This window comes from Homo sapiens, chromosome 3, assembly GCF_000001405.40.
Source record: "Homo sapiens chromosome 3, GRCh38.p14 Primary Assembly".
In the NCBI taxonomy this organism is placed as follows: domain Eukaryota; kingdom Metazoa; phylum Chordata; class Mammalia; order Primates; family Hominidae; genus Homo; species Homo sapiens.
Window position 1 is genome coordinate 2,100,316 of NC_000003.12, and position 24,108 is coordinate 2,124,423.

The 24,108-nt window shown below is 38.7% G+C and overlaps 1 protein-coding gene and 1 long non-coding RNA gene across 29 annotated transcripts in view; one reads left to right on the forward strand and one right to left on the reverse strand.

Annotated features, from left to right (window-relative positions):
* The window catches only part of CNTN4 (contactin 4), a 959,094-nt gene that overhangs the window by 1,450 nt on the left and 933,536 nt on the right, over positions 1–24,108 (forward strand). For 17 of the 28 annotated variants that reach the window (XM_047447535.1, XM_047447518.1, XM_047447523.1 and 14 more), the window contains exon 1: positions 1–24,108. This exon is cut by the window's right edge. The exons of 7 other annotated variants lie outside the window; for them this stretch is intronic. The gene's annotated coding sequence lies outside the window, so the exon portion shown is untranslated. 4 more of the 28 variants (XM_017005783.2, NM_175607.3, XM_017005785.2 and 1 more) reach the window with 2 other exon arrangements.
* CNTN4-AS2 (CNTN4 antisense RNA 2) overlaps positions 10,094–24,108 on the reverse strand; it is a 33,833-nt gene continuing 19,818 nt past the window's right edge. The window contains exon 3 of the long non-coding RNA NR_046555.1: positions 10,094–10,317. This is a non-coding gene — a long non-coding RNA (CNTN4 antisense RNA 2). The remainder of the gene's footprint in view (positions 10,318–24,108) is intronic.

A 24,108-nucleotide genomic window follows, 5' to 3' on the forward strand; every position in this document is an offset into this window, starting at 1 on the left:
GTAGTGGGAGCTGGATAGTTCAAGGAGTAACTCCACATAACTGAGTCGTTTGGATACCCACACAAGATAATTTGGAACGCGCTTGTATTTTTTTGTTTTTTGAGATTTCTGGTTTATGTCCTTTAGAGAGTGGGGTAGGAGCGTAAAGACTGTATAGGTTGCCTATGAGCAGGTCCATACAATAGCGTTCCCAAGTCTGCCTAATAGCAAGTTTGTTCTCTCTTTCTCTCTCTCTACCCAAGTGGGTGAAAAAGAACAGTGTGTCATGAAGACAGGCACCTGGAGGTGATTTGGGTGGCATTCATGAGAAAATTCACGTTACCCGTAAGTTTATTCTTGCTATTTTTATCTTGATTTCTTTAAAGATTTTGTGGGAATATCTGCAGTGGGTCGCAGGAGTAGGTAAGATTGCTAAGGATCAAAAACAAGTTTCATGAGAATATTATTTTTGCTACCTTATAAAATAGCTATTGATTTGTTTGTTGAAGCTGGTTTCAACTGCTCTGTCTTGTTGAGGAGAGATGATGCTGATAAACGTCATTATTTTTCCATCTGAACCCTGGGAGGTAGCTGGCAAGGATGGAAAAACTGACCTTTTCAATTAAAGACTAAGAGTCTAAGAGAAGTGACTTGGATAAGGGTGCATGTCAGAGCCACATGTAAGTTTCAACAGAGGTAGATTTTCCTATTTGCAGTTTTTTAAACAACACTTTTCAGTTTCTTTGAGTTGTAAAACTTTTCAAGTCAATTGGGAGTCAATGCAGTACCTTTTTCCATGGTCATTTCATATTGGCAGGTAATTAAGAGTGATTAGAGAACAAACCTTTCAAATGATGTTGGATTTTTTATCATTCACTTATTTTACCTACTTCTCTCTCCTTTTTGTTCAAAAGTAGGTCTTCTGATTTCTTTTCCGATCTAAGCACTAAATCTTTTGGCTGCAGTTTTTCTTCTGAAATGTATACAGGGCATCCGTTCCTTCAATTTAGGTCTTAAAAAAATAAAGCTGCTCAGCAGAAAATTCCCATGCATGGTACTGACTTTTCTACAAGTTTGTCTGATCATGATTTTAACTTGTTGTTTCTTCTTTGTTATATTTGAGGACAGACATAATATGCATTAGCTTCAATCTCTCTTATCTTAAAAATTAATATTTTGTAAAAACTTGCTTTTATATTATTTTAGTTGAATAAGTCTATTTCATATGATAGGCAGGGGGAAGTCTCTACACACTGATTTTTTTTGTTCCTTTTTGTTCATTTTTCCCTGTAATGCTATGTTTTAAGCCTAGTGAAGGAGGCAAGGAGGCAGGATTTACTGCCTAGATTTATTGATCTTCATTATTATTATTATTTACTATCAGAAGAAATCTGACAACATATCAATAAAATTTATTTATAAACTGAAGACATGCTGTTATATGATACACTACTTATAAAACACACAAAGAAACAAAAAAGATGAATAAAGCAAAAATTATGAAATAGAAGGTCTCATGTTGCTGTTATGTATCCCGGTGGATCATTTTGTACAGCCCCTGGGGTGTGTAGCACACTTTAAAGATCACTGCTGGTTTGATATTTTTAAAATCTTTCTCTCCTTATCTCTGCTCTGCTGTTCATCATCTCTGATACTCTAGCCAGTTGTAAAACTGCTACACTTCTATATCTTCTGTAACAAATAGATTAAGCACACTTGTTTTCCTCTCATGGACTCATATGTGGATAGAATGAGGTGTAAAGGATGAATGTGTTTTGGAGATGTCATCTTAGATCTCCCAAAGTAGACATACAGGTGAATTTTAAAAAATGGAGTTTTAGTTTAAAGACTAAGTACCAATGGTCAGGAAGTGAAGAATCCAAGGAGTAAATGAGGGAGGATTGGAAGGACACTTTCCACATTGCAGTGTTGTGTGGAGGCTGGAAAGTTCATAAACCTTGAAGCAGATTAACCTGAATCTAAGTCTGGCACCATCATTTATTACATTTACAGTCCTGGGCAATGTAGTTCCTTAATTTCTGTGAGCCTTAGTTTCTTTAGGTATAAAATTGGGATAACATCTATTTCACGGCATCACGATAGGGATTAAACATGAGAGCATGAGTCAACATGGGTCAAGAGCTTGGCTCTTTTAGATTGGCTCTTTAGCAGATATAACAGATCCAAAAGGGATACTGCCTCAGATGTGAAATATATTTATTTCTCGGTTGTGTGAAGTCCCAGAATGGGTGATCATGGCAGTACTCCTTCAAAGTGTGATTCAGAGACCCAGCCTTCATCTGTTCTGTGCCCTTGCCGTCTTCAGCAGGGTCACTGTGCTTACTTGCATCAAGCCATTGGAAAGAGGAAGACTTGGGAGGATGTTAATTGCCCAGAACTGGAATGAGTGCATATTACTTTTCCTTGCATTGTGCTGGCCAGAACCCAGTTCTTTGTGGATGTACGTTACTATTAAGGAGGCTGGGAAATATAGTCTAGAAATGTTATCCAGGAAGTAGAAGAAATTGTTGGGGGAACAACTAGCATTCTCTGATGTTTTATTACTATATGTGATATTTCTTCCATGTTCAATAACTGTTACTTCCTTTTCTTCTCCTAACCCTTGCTTTTTTTTTTTTCTGGTAGAAAAACTGGAATGGATACAATAAATAATAATAGAAGCAGTTAATACATACATAATGCTTACTATTATTGAGATACTTTTTAAAGCACATTGCCCTACTTTGCCCTTCTAATATTATCTCTATTGTACAGATGAGGAAAACTAGGCATAGAGAAATTAAGTTATTTGTTCATCATAGCTAGTAAGTAGCAGAGCTGGGATCTGAACCAGGTTCTCTCACTCCAGAATTGATTTTTTAACAGCTTTTTTTTTTTTTGCTTTTGCCTCAATACTTTTCTTATTTAAGCCACTGGACCGCTTTTTACTTTTGCCTATATATAAAAAAGTTGCCAAGAGAATTTTTTAAAATACTAAAGTAGAAAAAAAGGATATAATCCAAAACATACTGGAATGGAATTAGATATGATACAGCTTTATCTTGAATACCTACCAGGATCAGGAGCAGATATTTAAAGTAACTCCCCCCACTTACACACCCTTCACCACTACAACTGCTCTTTCATTTGTGATAAACACATTTTCAGGGTCTGTGCCTTGAATTATAACCTTCCTCTGAAGATTCTATTGTGGGAGTCTTGCGCTACCACTTTCATGCTTCAGTATGTGAGGATAAATTCCTCTTCACTTCTCAGCAGAAACAAATATCTTCCCTGGCAGGTTTTTCAGCTAAAATAGCCTCTCCTAACTTTTGATCAAAGGTATTGCTCTTTATCAATATCCCCATCCTCCAAGAAAGGAAACCCTCTTCTTTTCCTATGAGCTTTGCAAAATTATTTTTTATTTATCTATTTATTTATCTTTATTTTCTATATGACTAAGGGGACTGTATATATATCCCAGGTACCGTCTAAAAGAAAATGGTCCCTCTTGTTCTCATCCTGTTGTCCCATTTCCATTAGAGAATCTGCCTCATCTTATGTTTCCTATGTATTTGTCTTTCATAAAAATGCCTGTTAGAGTTTTGGTTCCCAGTGGCTGCAGTGGAAATGTGTAGTGGTCAATAGTAAGCGTATACTTTTTGCTAAGATAGTTATTGTTTCAACATTAAAGAGTGATTTTTTTCCTCTTGTTCAGTATGTATTTGTTGCATCTTCACAATTAGGTAATGATATGTATCTTCTTACCATGTAGGTAGGCATAAATACTGTATACCTACCAGTCATTTCTTTCCCAGAAGCCCCTGTTCATTTCCTCTTTACTTTCCCTGAGCCTCACATCCTGAGAATTTTGCTTTTTTTTCTGAACTCCTCTTTCTTCCAATTTTTTCCACTTCTGTGCCATTTATGTCTACGTGTGTGTGTGTGTGTGTGTGTGTGTGCGTTTCAAGTCCCTTCTTATGATTTAATGGGGTTGGAGGGCTGGAGAGGTTTTCATGTGCTTACTGTCATGTTTTCAGCCAAATTCCACAGGGCCTTGTAACAGGCTAACATGAGCAGATAAGCTCTTAATTTTCAGTGACTTATTTTAACTTTTTACTTCTTGCTCATGTGTGGTAGTTCAGTACTCATAGAATAGATCCTGACTGAGTGGCTGTCCATGGGGTCATTCAGGGAATCAGGTTCCTTAGAGTTTTATGGCTTTGTTCATCTTTAAGTACCTAGAGTCCTCATCATTCAGTCAAGATACAGAGTGTGAGGAGATAAATAATCCAGAGAAGTCTTATTGGAGGTTGTTGTAGGCACAGCCTGGAAGTGGTTGTCATGACTTCTGCCCACATTCCTCTGGGGTGGACCTCAGTCACTTCGACATCCTTTGCTGCAAGGGAAGCTGAGAAGTGGTGTCTAGCTGAGTGCCTGGGGGAGAAGGGTGAAAGGAAAACAGGTTTGGTAAATAACTAGCCAGTCTTTGTCACAGGTTTCCAATGAAAGCATGTGAGAAAATCAGCTAATTCTCTAGGTATGGGGAAAAGAGAGCATGGATTTTGGTTATTTGCCAAATAAATGCCCATTGCCTTGCTTCCTTTTAATTTTGACCTCTATTACTATCCCATTCTTAGTGCATATGGTCTGGGTGGGATTCCGTTTCCCATTTAAGGATTGGAGCATGGGAACCAGGTCTTGTCGGGAAGAGCATTGACTTTTCCTGTCCACAGTAATTGCTTCTAGAACAGAACAGGCATGGACCCAGTGAGAACCACTGCAGTGAGATGCTTTGCTTTTTCTCAGTGGCTCTAGTTGGGCTCCATGTATGCCTTTGAACTAATTCCTGTAGATAAGGAGATTAGAACCAGGGAGCATGTGGGCCTGCCACTGCTGCAGCTGTCTTAACACCAAAAAGAGAACCTAGACCTGCTGAGGTCACCACATACTACTTGAGAATGAAGCCAACAGAACAGTAGCAAGGGGCATGATGGAGCAAAACCAGCTCCTCTTGCATCATGTGAGCCCGTTAATCTGGCTATGCCTAAAGTGAGTTAACCTGGTATATTAGTCTATTCTCACACTGCTAGAAAGAACTGCCTGAGACTGGGTAATTTGTAAAGGAAAGAGGTTCAATTCACTCAGTTCCGCATGGCCTCAGGAAATTTACAACCATGGCAGAAGGCACGAGAGAAGCAAAGGCAGGTCTTACATGGCGGCAGGCAAGAGACAGTGAAGGAGGAAGAGCCCCTTATAAAACCATCAGATCTCATGAGAACTCACAATCATGAGACCAGCATGGGGGAAACTGCTTCCACAATGCAATCACCTCCTACCAGGTCCCACCCTTGACACATGCAAATTATGGGGATTACCTTTCAATTGATGAGATTTGCGTGGAGACACAGAGCCAAACCATATCATTCTGCCCCTGGCCCCTCCCAAATATCATGTCTTTTCACATTTCAACATGCCTTCCCAACAGTCGCCCAGAATCTTAACCCATTTTGGCATTAGCTCAAAAGTCCACAGTCCAAAGTCTCATCTGAGACAAGGCAAGTCCCTTCTACCTATGAGCCTGTAAAATAAAAAGCAAGTTAGTTAATTCCAAGTTGCAGTGGGAGTACAGGCACTGGGTCAATGTTCCTATTCCAAATGGGAGAAATTGGCCAAAACAAAGGGGCTACAGGCCCCATGCCAGTCTGAAACCAGGCGGGGCAGTTATTAAATCTTAAAGCTCCGAAATCATCTTCTTTAACTCTATGTCTCAAGTTCAGGTCATGCTGATGCAGGAGGTGGGCTCCCACTGTCTGGGGCAGTTCTGCCCCTCTGGCTTTGCAGGCTACAGCTCCCCTCCCAACTGCTTTCATGGCTGGAGTTGAGTGTCTGCTTTCATGGCACACAGTGCAAGCTGTCAGTGGATCTACCATTCTGAAGTCTAGAGGACCATAGCCCTCTTCTCACAGCTCCATTAGGCAGTGTCCCAGTGGTGACTCTGTGTTGGGAGCTCCAACCCCCATTTCCCTTCCGCACTGCCCTAACAGAGGTTCTTCATGAGGGCTCTGCCCCTTCATCACACCTCTTGCCTGGACATCCAGGCATTTCCGTACATCTACTGAAATCTAGGCAGAGGTTCCCAAACCTTCATTTTTGTCTTCTGCACACCCACAGGACGAACACCATGTGGAAGCTGCCAAGGCTTGGGGCTTACACCTTCCGAAGCAACAGCTTGAGCTATACCTTGGCCCCTTTTAGCTACAGCTGGAGTGGCTGGGACGCAGGGCACCAAGTCCCTAGGCTGTACACAGCAGGGAGCCCAGTGCCTTGTCCAAGAAACCGTTTTTCCCTCCTAGACCTCTGGGCCTGTGATGGGAGGGGCTGCCGCCAAGATCTCTGTCATGCCCTGAAGACGTTTTCCCCATTGTCCTGGCTCCTCCTTACTTCTGCAAATTTCTGCAGCTGGCTTGAATTTCTCCCCAGAAAATGGGTTTTTCTTTTCTACAGCATCATCAGGCTGCAAATTTTTCAAACCTTTTTGCTCTGCTTCCCTTTTAAACATAATTTCTAATTTCAGATCATCACACTCAAGTTTAAAGTTCCACAGATCTCTAGGGCAGGGGCAAAATTCTGCTAGTCTCTTTGCTAAAGCATAGCAAGAGTGACCTTTGCTTCAGTTCTCGATAAGTTCCTCATCTCCATCTGACCTGGACTTCATTGTCCAAATCATTATTAGCATTTTGGCCAAAACCATTCAACAAGTCTCTAGGAAGTTCCAGAGTTTCCCACATCTTTCTTCTGAGTCCTCCAAGTCTCTAGTAAGTTCCAAACTTTCTGACATCTTCCTGTTTTCTTCTGAGCCCTCCAAACTGTTCCAGCTCTATCTGTTACCCAATTACAAAGTTGCTTCCACATTTTCGGGTATCTTTATAGCAGTACCCCACTCTCTGCAGTACCAATTTACTGCATTAGTCTGTTCTCACATTGTTATAAAGAACTACCCAAGACTGGGTGATTTATAAAGGAGAGAGGTTTAATGGACTCACAGTTCTGTATGGCTTGGGAGGCAACAGGAAACTTAAAATCATGGTGGAAGGGGAGAGAGAAGCAAAGGTATATCTTACATGGCAGCAAGCAAGAGAGAGTGAATGAGCAAAGGAGGAAAATCCCCTTATAAAACGATCAGATCTCGTGAGAATCATTCACTATCACGAAAACAGCATGAGGGAACTGCTCCCATGATCCAGTCACCTCCCAATCACCACCCTTAACACTTGGGAATTATGGGGATTACAATTTGAGATAAGATTTGGGTGGGGACACAGAACCAAACCATATCAGCTGGTGATTTTGCAGCTCTTCAGATTCATAAATTACCCTTTGACGTAAGCTGATTTGGGTTGGATTTGTATGACTTAAAGTGAATACTGATTTATTAGACCAAGCAAAAAAGAGGAAAGAATACTGGATAAGGAAGGGAGTGGGGGTTTTATTTGTTTGTTTGTTTTCCTGAGCTCATCTTATGTCACTTTGGTTGTGTGCCTAACAGTTTCACTCCCTTGTAATACATCAGACTTCCAGTCAAGAACCATTTGGCATACCCCTACCCAGGCACATAGAGCTCTCACTAAATTATAAACCCGAAGCTGTTAATTCTTCTCAAAGCTGATCTCTCCTTACAGAGTTATGGAAGGGAAATGGAGGTGAAATCACATCCTCAGGCTTAATTCCCTCTTTCAAGATTGCCTGTGGTCCCTCCTGGATGATGCTTTCTTTTCCAGCATCACTTCCCTGTTCCTATCCTCCCCCAGGCTTGCAGACCAACTGTAACAATCTAATCACCCATCCTGGAACTTTTCATGTGCCTTTTCTTTTTTTTTTTTTTTTTTCATGACTGTTTACATTGCCTCTCTCTTTGGCCTCCTCTTACTGTCCTTGTCTACTGTGTTTATTACAGTTTGCACAATGCTCAACTCAAGTATCACTAAGTTAAGCCTCTTTCAATACTATTGAGGCATAAAGAATGGCTCCGTCACCTGTACATACTCTCATTGTACTTGTTTCCATGCCACTGATATAATATCTGTCATGAGAATGACCATCTCTCTTGCTTTTCCCAGGACAGGGGGGTTCCCAGGATGCTGGATATTCATTTTTAAAACCAGGAAAGTCTTGATCAAGCCAGGAGAAATTTGTTGCCTTGCCTTCTACATTGTAATAGCTCTCATTTAACATGCCACTCGGTGCAATGGAATTTCATTGAGACAGTGGATAACAGCTTGAAATTTGGAGGCAAAATTCTTACCAATCCTAGATCCATTTTGTACTAGTTGTGTGATTGTGAGCAAGTGACCTAACTTTTCTAGGTTACAGTTTCATCATCTGTGTAGTGGAATAGTATGTGTTTTGTAGGGTTGTTAGCTAATTAAAAGACATCATAAATTAAATCACTTCGTTTAGTGATGGACACATCTATAACATTGTCTAAAGCACACGAGTTTTGTGAAGATTATGTAGAGTACTACATGCAAAGTACAAGCAGGACAGTGCCCAAATCCTAGTAAGCATCCAGTACACAGCTTTTGTTATGGATTGTTGTTATTCACTTTTAAGTATCTCTTGCCTAAAACATAGTAGATGCCAAAAATACAATTACACTCAGAGAATACATGTTCATGGAGCATAAACAATGTTACTCAGAGTTTGTGATAAGTGGGGCAAGCAAGTCAGTGAGAGTGATTAGGAAATATTTTCGATAATTACTTGGTCTTTGAAACTTGAAAAAGCTGGAATTGACTGCAGGATTAGTTCCTTTTTAGAAACAGTTTGTTTTTTCTTGCATATTTAAACCAGACTTCACAAATTTTCATAGTTCGGAAAGAGAAAATATTTTCCATGTTTAGGCAAGGTCAGTATTGGTGCATAACCCCTAAGTACATATTTTCATTATTTTTATTAATGAAATAAAAGTGGCGCATTTGGGGGACCAAAATGCAAATATTTTGTCTTTCTTTTGGTTCATAAGAAAGTGAAGGTTAGGGCAGTAGAATCACTACTCCATTATTAATCATTATTCCATAATGATCTTGAGTTAAAAAAATCATATGATTTGTTGTTGTTGTTGTTAACCACAGTGACATATCCTCTCTACCTTTGGGCTGAACTTTTGTATATAAAAATACTTTGTAACTTGCACACTTGTATTAATATAAATCTTGAGTGTCCATGTTGCCTATGCCTTTCAGTTTTGTCATGGAAATTTCCAGTGAGGACAGGTGTTGCATGTGTGCTTATGCTGAGATGGGTCCAGTCTGGACAAGAAGACAATCAAACAAAACAATGATATGACTCAAATCACCAAGTATGTTTTGTAAGATTTGATTCTAGGCACATTGTCATCATTTTAAGTTGTGCAAATTTGTATTGTTATCCATATTATGATGGGTCTTCAACTATTAATTATAAATACGAATTTTTTTGTCTTTAGTCACTCATTTGATTAGCTATTAGCTAGATATTGATTCTAGACTCCTTACAGATTAGTGAATTAATTGGGAGTCCAAGCATTATTTTTAGTGTATTTAATTGGGTGAATGACAGCTTTATAGAGAAAGTGATTACTTAAGTTGCATATCTAATTCTTAGTAAAAAATTATAGTACAAACAAGGTCATCTAGAATTCTTGGATCTAAGTAATGGTAAATTAAGAGTTGCTTTTAATATAATAGTATCTTTTAAAAATGGATATCCCTGTAAAATGTCTTCATTTTCTGCTTAAGCAGGTGACTAAAGATAATTTACTTCTTGATGACACGGGATCACCATGATAAACATAGTTTGGTGGTTTAGAATAGAGTATGGGCCTTGGAATCAGACAGACCTGGTTTGAATCCTTGTTTTGTCTCTTACTAGCTGTGTGATCTCAAACACATTCTTACTTTTCCCAAGGCAGTTTTTAAAATCTGTAAAGTGAAGTTGATCCTGCCTGTCTTACAGATAGGCTGTGAACATTAATGGTATGCATTGAAGACTTTAGGACAGTGTGCATGGCACATTGTAAGCATTAGGTAAATGAACCGTATACTACAATCTTTACAACTTATACAGAACGTAGTATACTTAAATGTTTTATATATTTGTTGTTCATTGTTTCAACATTCTTTGCCACATTCCTGTGACACTGGGGGATGCAACAGGATCCCATCCAGTGCAGCTGAAGTGTTGAGACCGACACTGGTGACCTCCATCTGCTTTCTGCTGCCTTTCAGATTGTCATATTATAATCTTTCGCTTTGGTGAACTAGCCTTTTCCACTTGCTGTTTTCCACCATTTGTGAACTGGAAAAATAAAATACACAAGCTGTTCAAACATTCTTAGTAAGAGTAAACAGATTCGGAGTGAGACTGTGAAGGGGCCTGTTTCTCCCCTCCCCGCCTTTTTTTTGGTTGTTGTTGTGAGAGAGTAATGGTATGGGTGTTTCACATCCATTTTCACTGTTCTCAGCTTTACCTCTCTACTTCCTGGCTGAGGTACTGAGAGTAAGATATCACTATACCATAGTGGAAATAGAAAATAACCTGCTTTGATAATATTGTGACATGTATTTGTGATATGCTTGGCAGTAGCATCATGTTAGTGAAAATTCCTGTGTTACAGTGTGGAATGTTGGCTATCTTACCTGTAGTACAATAAACTTCATTCAAAATCCTGTGCTTAGAATACAGCATGATCTTTATGGTATAAAGAGGTTTTCTTTTCTATTTTTTTCCAGCACATTTCAAGGTCTTACTAGTTACTAGAGTCTAACTCAAAAGCCTTAGTATTTACCCTTTATTTTCTTTTTTAAATCCAGTGGTCAGAATTCCCGATACCAAAACAATTATGGATACTATTAAGGTGGCTGTAATGCTTATATACGCACTGTGAGTTCATTGAGAATTCATAGTTCTGTTAATTCTACTCAATTCTTATAATAATTGAAATTCACCAGCATATTGTTGTTTATAGTATGTGGTGTAAGTGAAATTAATACTTTTCTTTTAAACATTAGTATTTTCAGAGAAGAACCTTTTCCTGTTCTTCTGAATTAATGAATTGTTACAAATTTTTGTAGGTTTCTTATAATGTGGCTACTTAAATCAACATATTAAGGTAAACTCTTAAGAAAAGAAACATAATATAATGTACTCCCCAAAATAATGAATCCCATGTTTTAGGTTGGTATTTAGTCTCCACAGCTGGAAAACACTATTTTATGTGATGTATAGGAAAGGCTGGAGGCAGACTTGGTGATTTAGAATGACTCAGTGATTCATATCCTGTCTCTACTACTTATGTATTTAGTATATATACAAATATATATTAAAGTTAGTATGTAACATCAGACCAAGTCATTTAACCTTTTTTAGCTTCATTTTTCTCTTGTATATAATGGAGGAATTCCTGTAGGGTTGTGAAGACTAAAGTTACTTAATTGTATATACACATAGCCTTGTGCCAGGAATATAATTAGACCATCCCTAAAAATGCTGTTTATCATGATTTTACCCTTTCAATGCATTTATTCAATATGATGCTTGTGTTGTAGATGAAATATGTGGATGTTATGATTTACAAACTTGAAATTTCATTATTTTAAAATACTCTGTAAAGTGATTTATGTTTGCTCATATGCTTTTATCTATGGGATAGACAATGCAATCCTCTCTGTGTGGAGACAGAGGAAGGCAACATTTCCATAGTGTGTTGTTTTATGGTTGACTATTACTGCGAGCCACTGTATCAGAACTGAGATGAGATTAGCACTATTTGAGATTTTATTTTGGAGAAATGGTTTTGGCTATGGTCAAGAATCTTATTTATTAGAAAGAATGAATTACTGAATAGGCTCTCATCTGTATTCTTTCTACTTCAGCTATAGCCCATCTTGCCATCCTGTAAAAGAAATGCTGACAGTGACAGAGGAGAAATATAAAAATGTTTCCAGTTGCTTTCAGTCAAATGTGATTGAAATTTTATAAAAGATTTACACATTTTTTATTTGTAATACTGACAGTACTGGGAAATGAATTTCTGTTTACTCCAGAGAATAGCAGTCACTTTATAGGTGCTTTGAATTTTAAAACTTAGCAAGCATAACAATAATGACTGGTGTATTATTAACATGCATGTAAAAGGAGTTTAACATATCTGAAGAGAAACTGGTTAATGTTATTTTACTTCCTATGTGTTTTTACAGCCTTTCAAGAATGAAACATTGGTAGTAAGTTTGTTTTGAATGTTTCTCTATTTCATCTTTGTATGTTGGTTTACTACCTATTGTATGGGATTCAAAGAATGTTTATATCAAAAACTGTTTTGTTTAGAGCTTATCATTAAACCTCATTACTTAGATGTTTTAATTACTTTTATATGTTTCTTTCTGTATTTCTAACACATACAATGAGAATTTACTGTTTTCCATTGTGTTTTACATTTTTTTCTTCTGGTAAGTTACTAAGCTAACTCACATCAGTATCTTAATTCCTGGAGAGAGACCCCCATCCATTTATGTATATCCTATAGATCTGATTATGGCCTTGTTATGGAAATTGGCCTGACTACAGGCTTCTAGTCATTCATGCCCTAGTATTCTCCCCTGTTAGGTAATTTCCAAGATGCACCCTCTACTATAGTTTCTAAGTAATTCTTCTGAGCACCAGACCAAGTATTCATGGAAGGCCTAAAATATATACTTTCAATGGAAAGGATGGTAGAAATTCAGCCAATTCTGCTTTCTTGGGCTTTTAGATATTAAAAAGAGCTATAGAAATATAATTACACTGATGGATTTCACTGCTCTCAATTGCCTGAATTATCAGGGTTGAGCAACTGAAGCGGGTGGAAGGGCTGTTTCCCTTATATCTGAATATAACATAATAAATTGTCCATCAATAGGGACTATTTGAGTTTGATATTGATCTTTGATGTTATGTATGCTGCATTTCATTGATTAAAAGCATGCATTCTAGTTGGGTCTAGATATACAGTCTAAGTACATGATCTATAGTTCAGAATAGAGTATCATTTATATAGAAATTTGCCCATGGCCGTGTTGTAATTGTAGCCCATTGATTGGCATCTCCAAGGAGCTTGTGAGAAATGCAGAAATTTTTTCCTCACGCAGATGCACTGTATCAGAATTTTCATTTTATCAGTTGATTTTTATTAAAGATTGATAGACATTGATTTGCATTGTATTCTTAACTAACTGAAACAACTGGTTCCCTGCTACGAAGCCTAAATGTCAAGCATATACACAACCTGCTTAATTGTATAGTAAGGACCCAATACTATAGGATGAAGGATAGGTACAGTTGAGTTTGGCCAAATGATGATCAGAGTCTATATAGTTTAAGGCGCAGATACACAAATTTTCAAAAATATGGGTAGAATATAGTCAATATGAATGGAATAGACAATGCTTTGAAAATCACTGGAGGGAGGCTTTATTGTTTGTGAAAACATGTTGTCATCACTTTTTGCTTTAAGCCCTTGGTGGTGAAATAACTCAAACCATTCTTCCTTATGCTGAAGATCGAGAACCCCAAGTATCACATCTACCATCCCACTCATCAATGTGATTGGTCAGTCTTTGCTGAGGTCCTGCATAGCCAGTTTTAAAGTTAGAGTTCTTGCATATACATATGAAAAGGCATGTTACTTGTGCTTTCAAAGAGCTTTTTGCTTGGTGTAAAAAGAAAACTCAAATTACAGTGTGATGTGGAATATAATGGTGGTAGTTTCATCGAGATGATGGGAAAGAATTGATAAGATAAAGTAGAAAGATGAGCAGAATTTTCAGATTGGGTTTGGAAAGAGCACTTAAGAAAGAGGGTGGCCAGGTGGTGGCTCACACCTGTAATCCCAGGACTTTGTGAGGCCGAAGTGGGCAGATCACTTGAGCTCAGGAGTTTGAGACCAGCCTGGTCAACATGGCAAAACCCCATCTCAAAAAAAAACAAAAAAATACAAAAACTAGCTGGCGTGTTGGTGCCCACCTGCAGTCCTAGCTACTCGGGAGGCTGAGTTGGTAGGATCACTTGAGCTAGGGAAGTTGAGGCTACAGTGTGCTGTGATCCTGTCACTGCACTCCAGTCTGGATGACAGAGCAAGACCTTGTCTCAAAAAATAAATAAATAAAATTAAGAAAGAGGGTATAGTATGTACAATGGCCATGGGCTTATGAGGAAAAATGGCAAGTTTGGAGAATGCCAAAGGTATGAGTGGACGCTAGGGGTATGGGAAGGTGGCAATAGGGCCTTCATTTACACAGTTTCATAGACTAGAATGTGAATGTTATCCCCAGAGTTGGACCACCAACAAGCAGTGACTGTGATTGTTGCATCATGGCTTTGTGCAAAGTAGCATCTCTAGCGAATGGGACAAATTGGGGAATATGAGGGAATTGGGAGATATTCTTTATGCTGTAGAAAGCCACTGCAAGATTTATATGACAAGGTATACAGTGCTGATCTGCTGACCAATATATTTTCTGGCATCATTCCGTGTTTCTCTCTTGTGAGTGAGGTGCATTCCTTTGCTAATAACATTTGCTGTCCTCAGACATTATTAAAGGAAATTTAATGCTGTTTGACAACATTTCAAGTAGTAGCCATTGATATTGTCATGGACATTTATTGTTAATCACAGGAACAAGTTTCCTTTTCTAACAGCAAAATCTCTTCCACTGTTTGCAGTCTTGTGTGATGATGAAACCTCAGCCCACCCTCCTAATAGGCAGTGGACCATGAGGCCTCTCTGATGAGCCTTCAGCCAGGCTCTTCTCCTTGCTCCAGTACATCATGCAGGCATGTGACCTAAGTTGCAATGATCAGACCCTCTCCTCATACGTAGAATCTTGGGCTTAGTAACATAAGGATGAAGAAATGGTTAGTAGATGTATGCTTTTTACTGTGTCAGTGTCCTGGCCCCACTGAACATGGTGTGTGGTCCAATATTAATGGTATCTCTACTGGGGGTTTTGGAGCTGCTTTGTCCTCTAGTTCTTCCTTCTATTCCATGCGCTCTCCATATCCTTTTGATAGTCTCCTTTTCCCAAAGTTGGTTATTCTTTCTTGGAACCAAGGAACTATAAAGAGAAATGGAGGTTCTTCCAGGTAACCCTGTTTATCCTCTTAGCTTTCTGTTAGGGACATCCACAGCACGAGACACACAAGTTAGCTTTTCAGGGTGCCTCTTGAGGCCTGTCCAGGAATTTGGAAAATTCATCCTCTTAAACAGCCCATGGCATTTTCCACAGTTTATGGTAAGTACTCTTATCTCAGTATTCTGCAGAATGCAGAAAGGTACCTTGTAAACTTGGGGTATAAATCTCTCTATTGGTTTTCAAGTTGTGGTGTATAGCTTTATTCAAAGGGAATTCTAACATTTCATACAACCGCAGCTGCCATGTTATTTCTTTTAAAAGCTTGTGCCTTCTCTGAATAATTCATATTGTCCAGTGCCTTCAGATTGTTTCATAAGATCAACACCTAAAAAGTCCTTTCTTGTTCTAGCTAATACTTAAAGACTCTTTTGCAAATGTGTTTCTAGAAATTGTTATCACAGTTAGGGTGGGCATTTAGCTTTTTGTGCCTAGCCTGTAAACTTGGTCTTATTAACTTTGGGAACCATGAGTCTTGGTATTTATGCAGTGAGACTTAAATCTTTCTCGAAGGTGCTTTATAGTAACCTGCATGTAAAGCCTCTAACTTGGGCCTGGCACTCATCATTGGGTTGGACCCCAATCCTGATGATCTTCAAATCCTCTTTCATACATAGCCATCACCACTAAAGTCTTATTCAGCTAATGTTAGAAACAAAGCATTGCAGGAGGCCTCATATCTAGTAAATGCACTTTCATACCCAGTTTACTGTTATCCTCCATAATTAACGTGAGGCATAACAGAAAATAATCATAGACCAGGCATACATCTCAAAGCTTAGACATGTTATGAATGTCACTCCACATACCAGCTCCAATCCATCATTCCTGTCCTCAGCTTGGAAGTGGAGGAGGGGAGACGTGTTTATGGGACTAAATATAAACTCTGTGGGGTAATTGCTACAAAATGTCATCCTCAGAAACACCTGGGAGCTTTGGAAGAAAATAAAATTTCACAGCCCCACGCTAGGTAATACCGAATCAGAGTCTCTGGGAATGAGTTTTAGGAAACTGTAGTTGAATAGGCTCCCCATGTGATTCTGATGTTCAGCCAGGTTTGAGCGCTAAAGCATGTTCTGTGGAACACTAATTCTTCTAGGTAGATATAAATAGGATTCCCTTTAAAAGTGTTCTTAACAAAAACAGAGGAAATTCAGGATTTTAAACAGGTTTTCTAACACGAGAATTTTTCAGAATCTTTATGTGCATTGTGAAATGCATGTTTCTGACTATGGAACAATCTTGCTTCTCTATCCCCCCTGCCAACTCCCTACCCAACACAAAGACTCTTTACTAAACATCTAATGTTGCAGATTTCAGCCCTGGCTCCTCCTTAGAATAATCCGGTTAATCGATCGATCTGGGGTTGGGGGTGGGTTCTGTGTGGGAGAAACAAACTCAAAGTGTGTTTTCTATTCTCTCACTCAAAAACAATCAATAGAGAAGATTTTTGTGACCAAATTTGTGGGGGAATCACCCACACATCAAGCAAGCAATCAGTTTTCCAGCAGACACTAACTCAGCGTCCTCTAATTCAGTTCAGTACTGACACTCTCTACTTAGAGATAGTCTCAGATCACAGAGGTTGAGGGCTCAGTCCCACAAGACTGTCCCCTACTCCCAATGCCACAGGCAAGCCTCTGGTTGCCTGTTTTAATGGCATTTCTAAAACAGACCAGCTATAAATTGGTGTTCCCGCAACCTCCTCCTTGGGTTCAGTTAATTTGCTAGAGCTTCTCACAGAGCTCAGGGAAACACGTTTACTGGTTTATTATAAAGGATGTTACAAAGGATACAGATGAAGAGATTCAGAGGGTGAGGTATTGGGGAAAGGCCCCACACTGGGCCTTTCATGCCCTTTCTGGGCACACTACCCTCCAGGAACCTTTTGTGTTAAGCTGTCTGGAAGTGCATCTGAACGCTGTCCTTCTGCATTTTTCTGGGAGCTTCATTAGGTAGGCATGATTGATCAAAGTATTGGCCATTGGTGATCAACCTCACCCTCAGTCCCTCTTTCCTTCCAGGAGGTTGGGGGAGGGGGCTGAAAGTCCCAACCCTCTAATTATATCTTGGTCTTTATGGTGACCAGCCCCCATCCTGAAGCTACCCAGTAGCTGCCAGCCATTCATCCGCTAATTAGCATACAAAAGATTTTCCTTTGGAGGTCCCAAGGATTTTAGGAGTTTTATGTCAGGAAATGGGGTGTAGGACAAATACATATATTTTACCACTTCATGGGCTAATGGAATATTTTAAAATTTCCCGGGTGATTTTATTAGACACGCAGGGTTTAGGACCACAGATGCGATGTAATGTTCTTTGGAAGACATTCTGGATGATTTATTTATTTAACAATGTGTCCCACATCACCCAGATTTTTTAGTTTCACATCTGTCAGGTGGTTTTACTCAACTTACATATGTATCATCCTATGTTTAGAGCTTGTTTTTAAATATCTTTTTTTCTGATTATAATAAAAACTTTTTCTTAGAAAAAACACCCCAGCTATTACAGACACTCTTAGATAAAAATGCATTGGTTGTCTAAGTGAATTTTAATCATAATGAGTAATATTAATTGAACATTTATAATGTACCAAGGAAGTCACTAAATGTTTTTATTATATTATCTCATTTAAACCTATAATAGTCCTGTGAGCTAGATGCTGTGATGACCCCTGGGTCCTAAATGAGAAAACTGAGAATCAGAAAGAGTAAGTAATTTGTCTCAGGTCATGCAGCTAATAAATGGCAATACTGATATCATATCAGATCCCAGGTATACCTGATTGTGAGCTAAAGCTCTTAACCAATTTGGAATCCTGGTTAAGACAGAGGCTTTTATGTTTAGTGATCAGTGTATGCTTAAAACCCCTTAGTATGTACATGTTACTTTGTGAAGCACATTTTATTGCAAGGAAGGTGAATCTTCATAAATGACAGGGGTTTAGGAAAGTATTCCAAATGTTAAGAACCATTTTAAAATGGGAAGATTTTCAACCAAATATTTGCATATGAATGTAAACAGAATTTTTGTAGTTATAGTAGATTGGTAATTTGTGCATGTAAGTTATATATTATTCATTAATCTGAATGTATTTGAATATTCCAAATTCACTGTTTACATATATTTTTCCTACCGATAGGCTTCCAAATGTTGCTAAGCTTCCAGAAATATTGAGTTTGATAGATTTTTTTGGTTCCTCTGGCCAGAAATTTAAACAAAAAGAAAAGAATGATTTGGACTACTGGCAATAAAACTCAGTGAAGGGGATTTATGTACGGGTCCGAATGCATGCTTATTAGTCACTCAGAACATGATGTTTCATTTTAAAAGTACATGCCTTTGCATCTTGTTATGACATTTAGAAAAAGTTTTCAGTTGCATGTCTTTCATTTTGCCAGAGAAGATAAATTGACTAATATGTAAATGACATTACAGGGTCCAAGTGTAATGGTTAATTTTATATGTCAACCAGGCTAGGTCTGGATATTTGGTCAAACATGTCTGGATGATGCTGTGAAGATATTTTAAAGATGAGATTAACATTTAAATCAGTGGACTTTGAATAAAGCAGATCCATAATGTGGTGGGCCACATTCAGTCAGCAGAGGGCCTTCAGAAAAAAACTGATCTCCCAGGAGAAAGAATTCTGCTAGCAGACAGCTTTTGGTCTCTGGCTGTGACATTAACTCTTCATTGCTTGTCCAGTCTGTTAACCTGCCCTGCAGATTTTGCACTTGCCAACCTCCATAATCACGTAAGCCAATTCCTTGGTGTGTCTCTTTCTTTCTGTCTCTCTCTCCGTGTATACATCTAGTCCATCCTATTGGTTTTGTTTCTGTGGAGAACCCTGACTACTACACCAATATTCCTTATTCTCCCTGTATGAGAAAGTTTCTCTAGCTGTTTTTAGAATAATTTTATTTGGATGTCCTTACCCGCAAAATCAACTGTTAGACTTTTGCAGAATGATTAGTGATGGATCATACCAAATACTGCCATCTCCAACACTATTGATGTTTCCCCAGGCATTGGGCAATTTCATAGATGCCATATAGAGTAAATGGGAACACAGAAAGTTCAAAGATGGAATTTGTTACTCCCTGGAAATTTGTAGTGGTAAAGGTTTCCAGGTGTGGCTTTTGTCTTCCAGTCCAAGTAGGATAATTTAGAGAAATGGGAAAATAATCTCTTTCTAGAATCCACTTCATTTTTCCATTTAACCTACAGGTATCAAGTGCTACTAAGCCGTAGGACCAAGCTAGATCCTATGGGTAGAAAAGAAAAGAAGTGGATATGGAACTTGCCATCATAGAGCTTAGGGTGTGGTAGGGGTTACCCAAAAAGAGTTAAACAATTAATACTTTAAAAAATTATAAACTGTATAGGGGCTCTGAAGGAGAAAAGGAAAGTGCTGAGATAGTGCATAATGTGGGCAGGATCTAGTGTAGGTGGCAGAGTCAAGAAAGGCTTCTTGGTAAATGTGAATTTTGAGACCCCCAAACTTGAGATGGAGCTAGCCATGCAATAACCAGGGAAGAAAGTTCCAGGCAACGAAGACAGCATGTAAGGGGCAGTAGGTAAGTAAGAGCTTGACTCATAACCTGATTTAAGTTTTAATGTACAAACAATCAAGTTGTCATGGGTCAAGAAAGCCTTAGACTAAGCTGAGTGAAGGGGGCTCTAAATAGAATCATATAGGAGAAATAACACTGGGAAAATGAGGATAGTTTAGCTGGATTCTACTTTGAGAGTATGATAAAGGAGAAACATTAGTTTCACACTTTACTAGTTTTTAAATATGTGTAACTTCCATATTATTTAAACTATAACATGAGGCATTTAGGTTATATATATATATATATATATAAATATATATATATATATATATATATATATATATTTTTTTTTTTTTTTTTATGCAGAGTCTCACTCTGTCGCCGAGGCTGGAATGCAGTGGCATGGTCTCCACGGACTGCGAGCTCGCTTCCTGGGATCAAGCAATTCTCCTGTCTCAGCCTCCCGAGTAGCTGGGATTACAGGTGCACACCACTATGCCCAGCTAATTTTTGTATTTTTAGTAGAGAGGAGGGTTCTCCATGTTGATGAGGCTGGTCTTGAACTCCTGACCTTAGGTGATCTGCCTGTGTCGGCCTCCCAAAGTGCTGGGATTACAGGCATGAGCTACTGCGCCTGGCTGATAAATAATTTTTTAAGTATGCATGTGACTCTCACGAGTGTGGACTGCTAGCTAAGGCTGGCTCATCAATATTTGTCTAGAGATCTTAAAACTGAGTGAAATACTGTCTAAGTGAATTTTAATCATAATGAGTAATATTAATTGAACATTTACAGTGTACCAAGGAAGTCACTAAATGTTTCTATTATCTCAATTAAACCTATAATAATCCTATGAACTAGATACTATGATGGCCTCTGGGTCCTAGATGAGAAAACTGAGAATCAGAGAGAGTTAGTATGAGGCTCCTCACACTTTGGGAGGCTTTCTCTGCATCTGAAGCCACTTGAAAGTCTAGACTCATTGACTTTGTGAATTTTAATGACTTCCTTCCTCCCTCCCTTCCTTCCCTCCCTTCTTCCTTCCTTCTCTCCCTCCCTCTCTTCTTTCCTTCTTTTTTCCCCTTCCTCTCTTTGTTCCTTCCTCCCTCTTACCAAATGCTAGTACAGCACTGGATATGGTGAATATATCATTTCAGGCATAAGAAATTATATGCCGTGTAATCCCAGCACTCTGGGAGGCCGAGGCGGGCAGATCACGAGGTCAGAAGTTTGAGACCAGCCTGACCAACATAGTGAAACCCCGTCTCTACTAAAAATAGAAAAATTAGCCCGATGTGGTGGCACGTGCCTGTAAACCCAGCTACTCAGGAGGCCGAGGCAGGAGAATCGCTTGAACCTGGGAGGTGGAGGTTGCAGTGAGCCGAGATCACACCACTGCACCCAGCCTGGGTGACAGAGTGAGACTCCGTCTCAAAAAAAAAAAAAAAAAATGAAGTTGTGTGCACGGGGACCCATATCCTCCAGTCCTATAGAATTGTAAGTTGGTTACTATAGAACTTGTGCTGTATTTGGAACCTTTCACTGAAGAATATAAGCAAATGTCAAACCTGTAATTTGTCAGAGTTTCCATTTCACAATCTGAAGAACTGAAGTGTACAACCTTCACTCTGCATTGTTGAAATGAAGAGAAAGAGTTAAAGGTAATTATCCATATAATTTGAAAGAAAAAATGTCTCCTTCTGCTCAAGAAGTAGGGTCTGATACCTTGATTAATTTGTACTGGTTACTAATATTTAATTTCCCTGGATAGTGTCTGAACTTTCCATTTCAGTTTGCCATTGTACCCCCTTTGTATTTTAAAATTATTTTTCTTTATCACACCTGTAATCCCAGCACTTTGGGAGGCCGAGGTGGGCGGATCACGAGGTCAGGAGATCGAGACCACGGTGAAACCCCGTCTCTACTAAAAAAATACAAAAAAATTAGCCGGGCGTGGTGGCGGCGCCTGTAGTCCCAGCTACTCGGGAGGCTGAGGCAGGAGAATGGCGGGAACCCGGGAGGCGGAGCTTGCAGTGAGCTGAGATTGCGCCACTGCACTCCAGCCTGGGCGACAGAGCGACACTCCATCTCAAAAAAAAAAAAAAATTATTTTTCTTTAAAGGTTATTTGTCTATGATTGTGCATTTTAATAGTATGAAAGGGTACCTGGTCAAAACTGTTTGCCTTTTGTCACTTTCTGCTAACTCTTTTCCCTAGAGACAATGTTACTATTATTTGTTTATCATTTCAGAGATCTTTATTGTTATATGGGCACATATAACTGATTTTGTCAGTTAAAAAAATCTGAATGCTTACTATAAAAAATGATGGCATGGAATATTTTTCTTCACTTAAAGATGAATCTTAGATGTCAGTCTACATTAATCTATATGTAGCTAACTCTTCCCTGCGAAGAGTATTTATTCCTTTGTACAAAGGCCATAATACTAGAACTTGCTCATAAGAATTTATGTTCTTTACAGACTCTTGCTATGATAAACAATATCTTTGTAAACATGTGTGATTATATCTGTAGGATAAATTCCTGAAAGAAGAATTGGAATTTTTTTGGTCAAAAATACTGTATTGTACATTTAAAAACTTTTATAATTATTTCCAGATTGCCCTGCAAAGAAATTATCATAATTTACATTCTCAAAACAAGGTTGTCATAATGTTTGAGTTGATGCAGTAGCTCCTTAGCAATTAATAGACGTTCATTTTACAATCTGTCAACATTTGCAACTTTCACGAAGCCTCACAAGTGATCGTGTACCCAGGTAAAACAGCTTATGTTAGACATTCTTGTGCAAGGTTTATGGTTGGCTGTTGTTCTTAATCCTTTCCAGTTATAAGAGCTCATTGAATGTCTCAGTTCAAGGTTGCCATGTTATATTATGAGACATTGGGTACTGTCGGTGAGACTTGGCATGACTGGACGAGCCATTCTGATCTTTGAATTACACAGCAAGTAGAAGCCAGGACAGTATGTTCTTGACTTAAGGCATCCTCAGCAAAGTGATAACCTAGCTGATCTTCTGAGAACCCTCAGCCAGACACAGTGGAGTTTATGGTAAATTATAGCTCTTGTTGAGCATTGACTATATGCCTAGCACCCTTGCATATGATTTCTAATCTTTACAACAACCCTCCAAAATGGGAATAACTATCCTCACTTTACAATTTTGGAAATTTAAGTTCAAAACGGCTGAGTGCATTTCTCAAGGTCAAGGTCACATAACTAATAATTGGCAGAGCTATCTCCCTCTGCCTGCTTCCAGAGGAGTTTTTCCTTTTATTGCATCATTGCAATTGACCATCAGAATCACTTGGCTTTACTAATTTTTTATGCATTAAACAGGTTTTTCTGGTCAGTATCCAGGCAAATTTAGGCAGTTCTTGTTTGGAAGGGTCCTTTCCTTTGGTTGGTCCAGCTTTTGCACCCCTGTACTTAGAGGGATGCTCAGATGCTCAGATGTCTTTGCTACTGCTGTGTCCAGCTGTGGTGTATCTTCCCATGCTGACCCTACTCTCATGTTTCTGAACTGACATCTCGCAAGATTAATTGAGATGCTGTAGTTTTCTAGCGCTACACTGGCTGTAATTAGTCGCTGACATATGATGATTTATTATAGGGGATTCCTTTAGAAATTTACTTTGTGTTTTGGGACTAAGAAATGATCGTTAGAGTTTCAGACTTACAGCTCTTGTCCTGCACCACTTAACTGATCAAAACTATGTTTGGGATGACCAGGCAGCTTGACATCATAGCACTGGTCATCCTGACTCTCTAAGTAAAACTGAAATGTGTGGCAAATTAAAAGCAGTGAAGATGGTGCATGGCTAAATTAATTCATCTTGATTAGGCCCTGGTGAATTTTTAAATATATAATCAGATGTGAGAATTTAAGATGTGGGATAGTCAAAGCCAAGAATCCAGGAAGACTTCTAGCAATTCCACAAAGACAAAAAGCAAAGATGCCAGAAGACTGTGGCCAGGCTTGCTTGTGGAATGAAAATAAGGGGAAAAAAATCACTTACAATAGATTAACAGTATACCCTGTCAAAGAGTGTGCCAGAAGTCACGTAAAATTCCCAACCCACTGACAGAGATTTTGGAGAGGTGATGAGAGTGAGGGGAAGGGATTATCTGAAAAATATGAACAAGGCAGTAGTGAGGAATAAGATGCCAGCATCAACTTCCGCTGTCACTTGTTTTCTCAACGGTTAGCCATGCCACTAAGGTCAACTCAGTATGTTATTAAAATGGGCGGTTTTAGGTAATGATTACTTTCTTGGCAGATAGAGGATTCTTTTATCTTTGGGGTCATGCATTTTTAAAAGCCTTTGTCTGCATAGA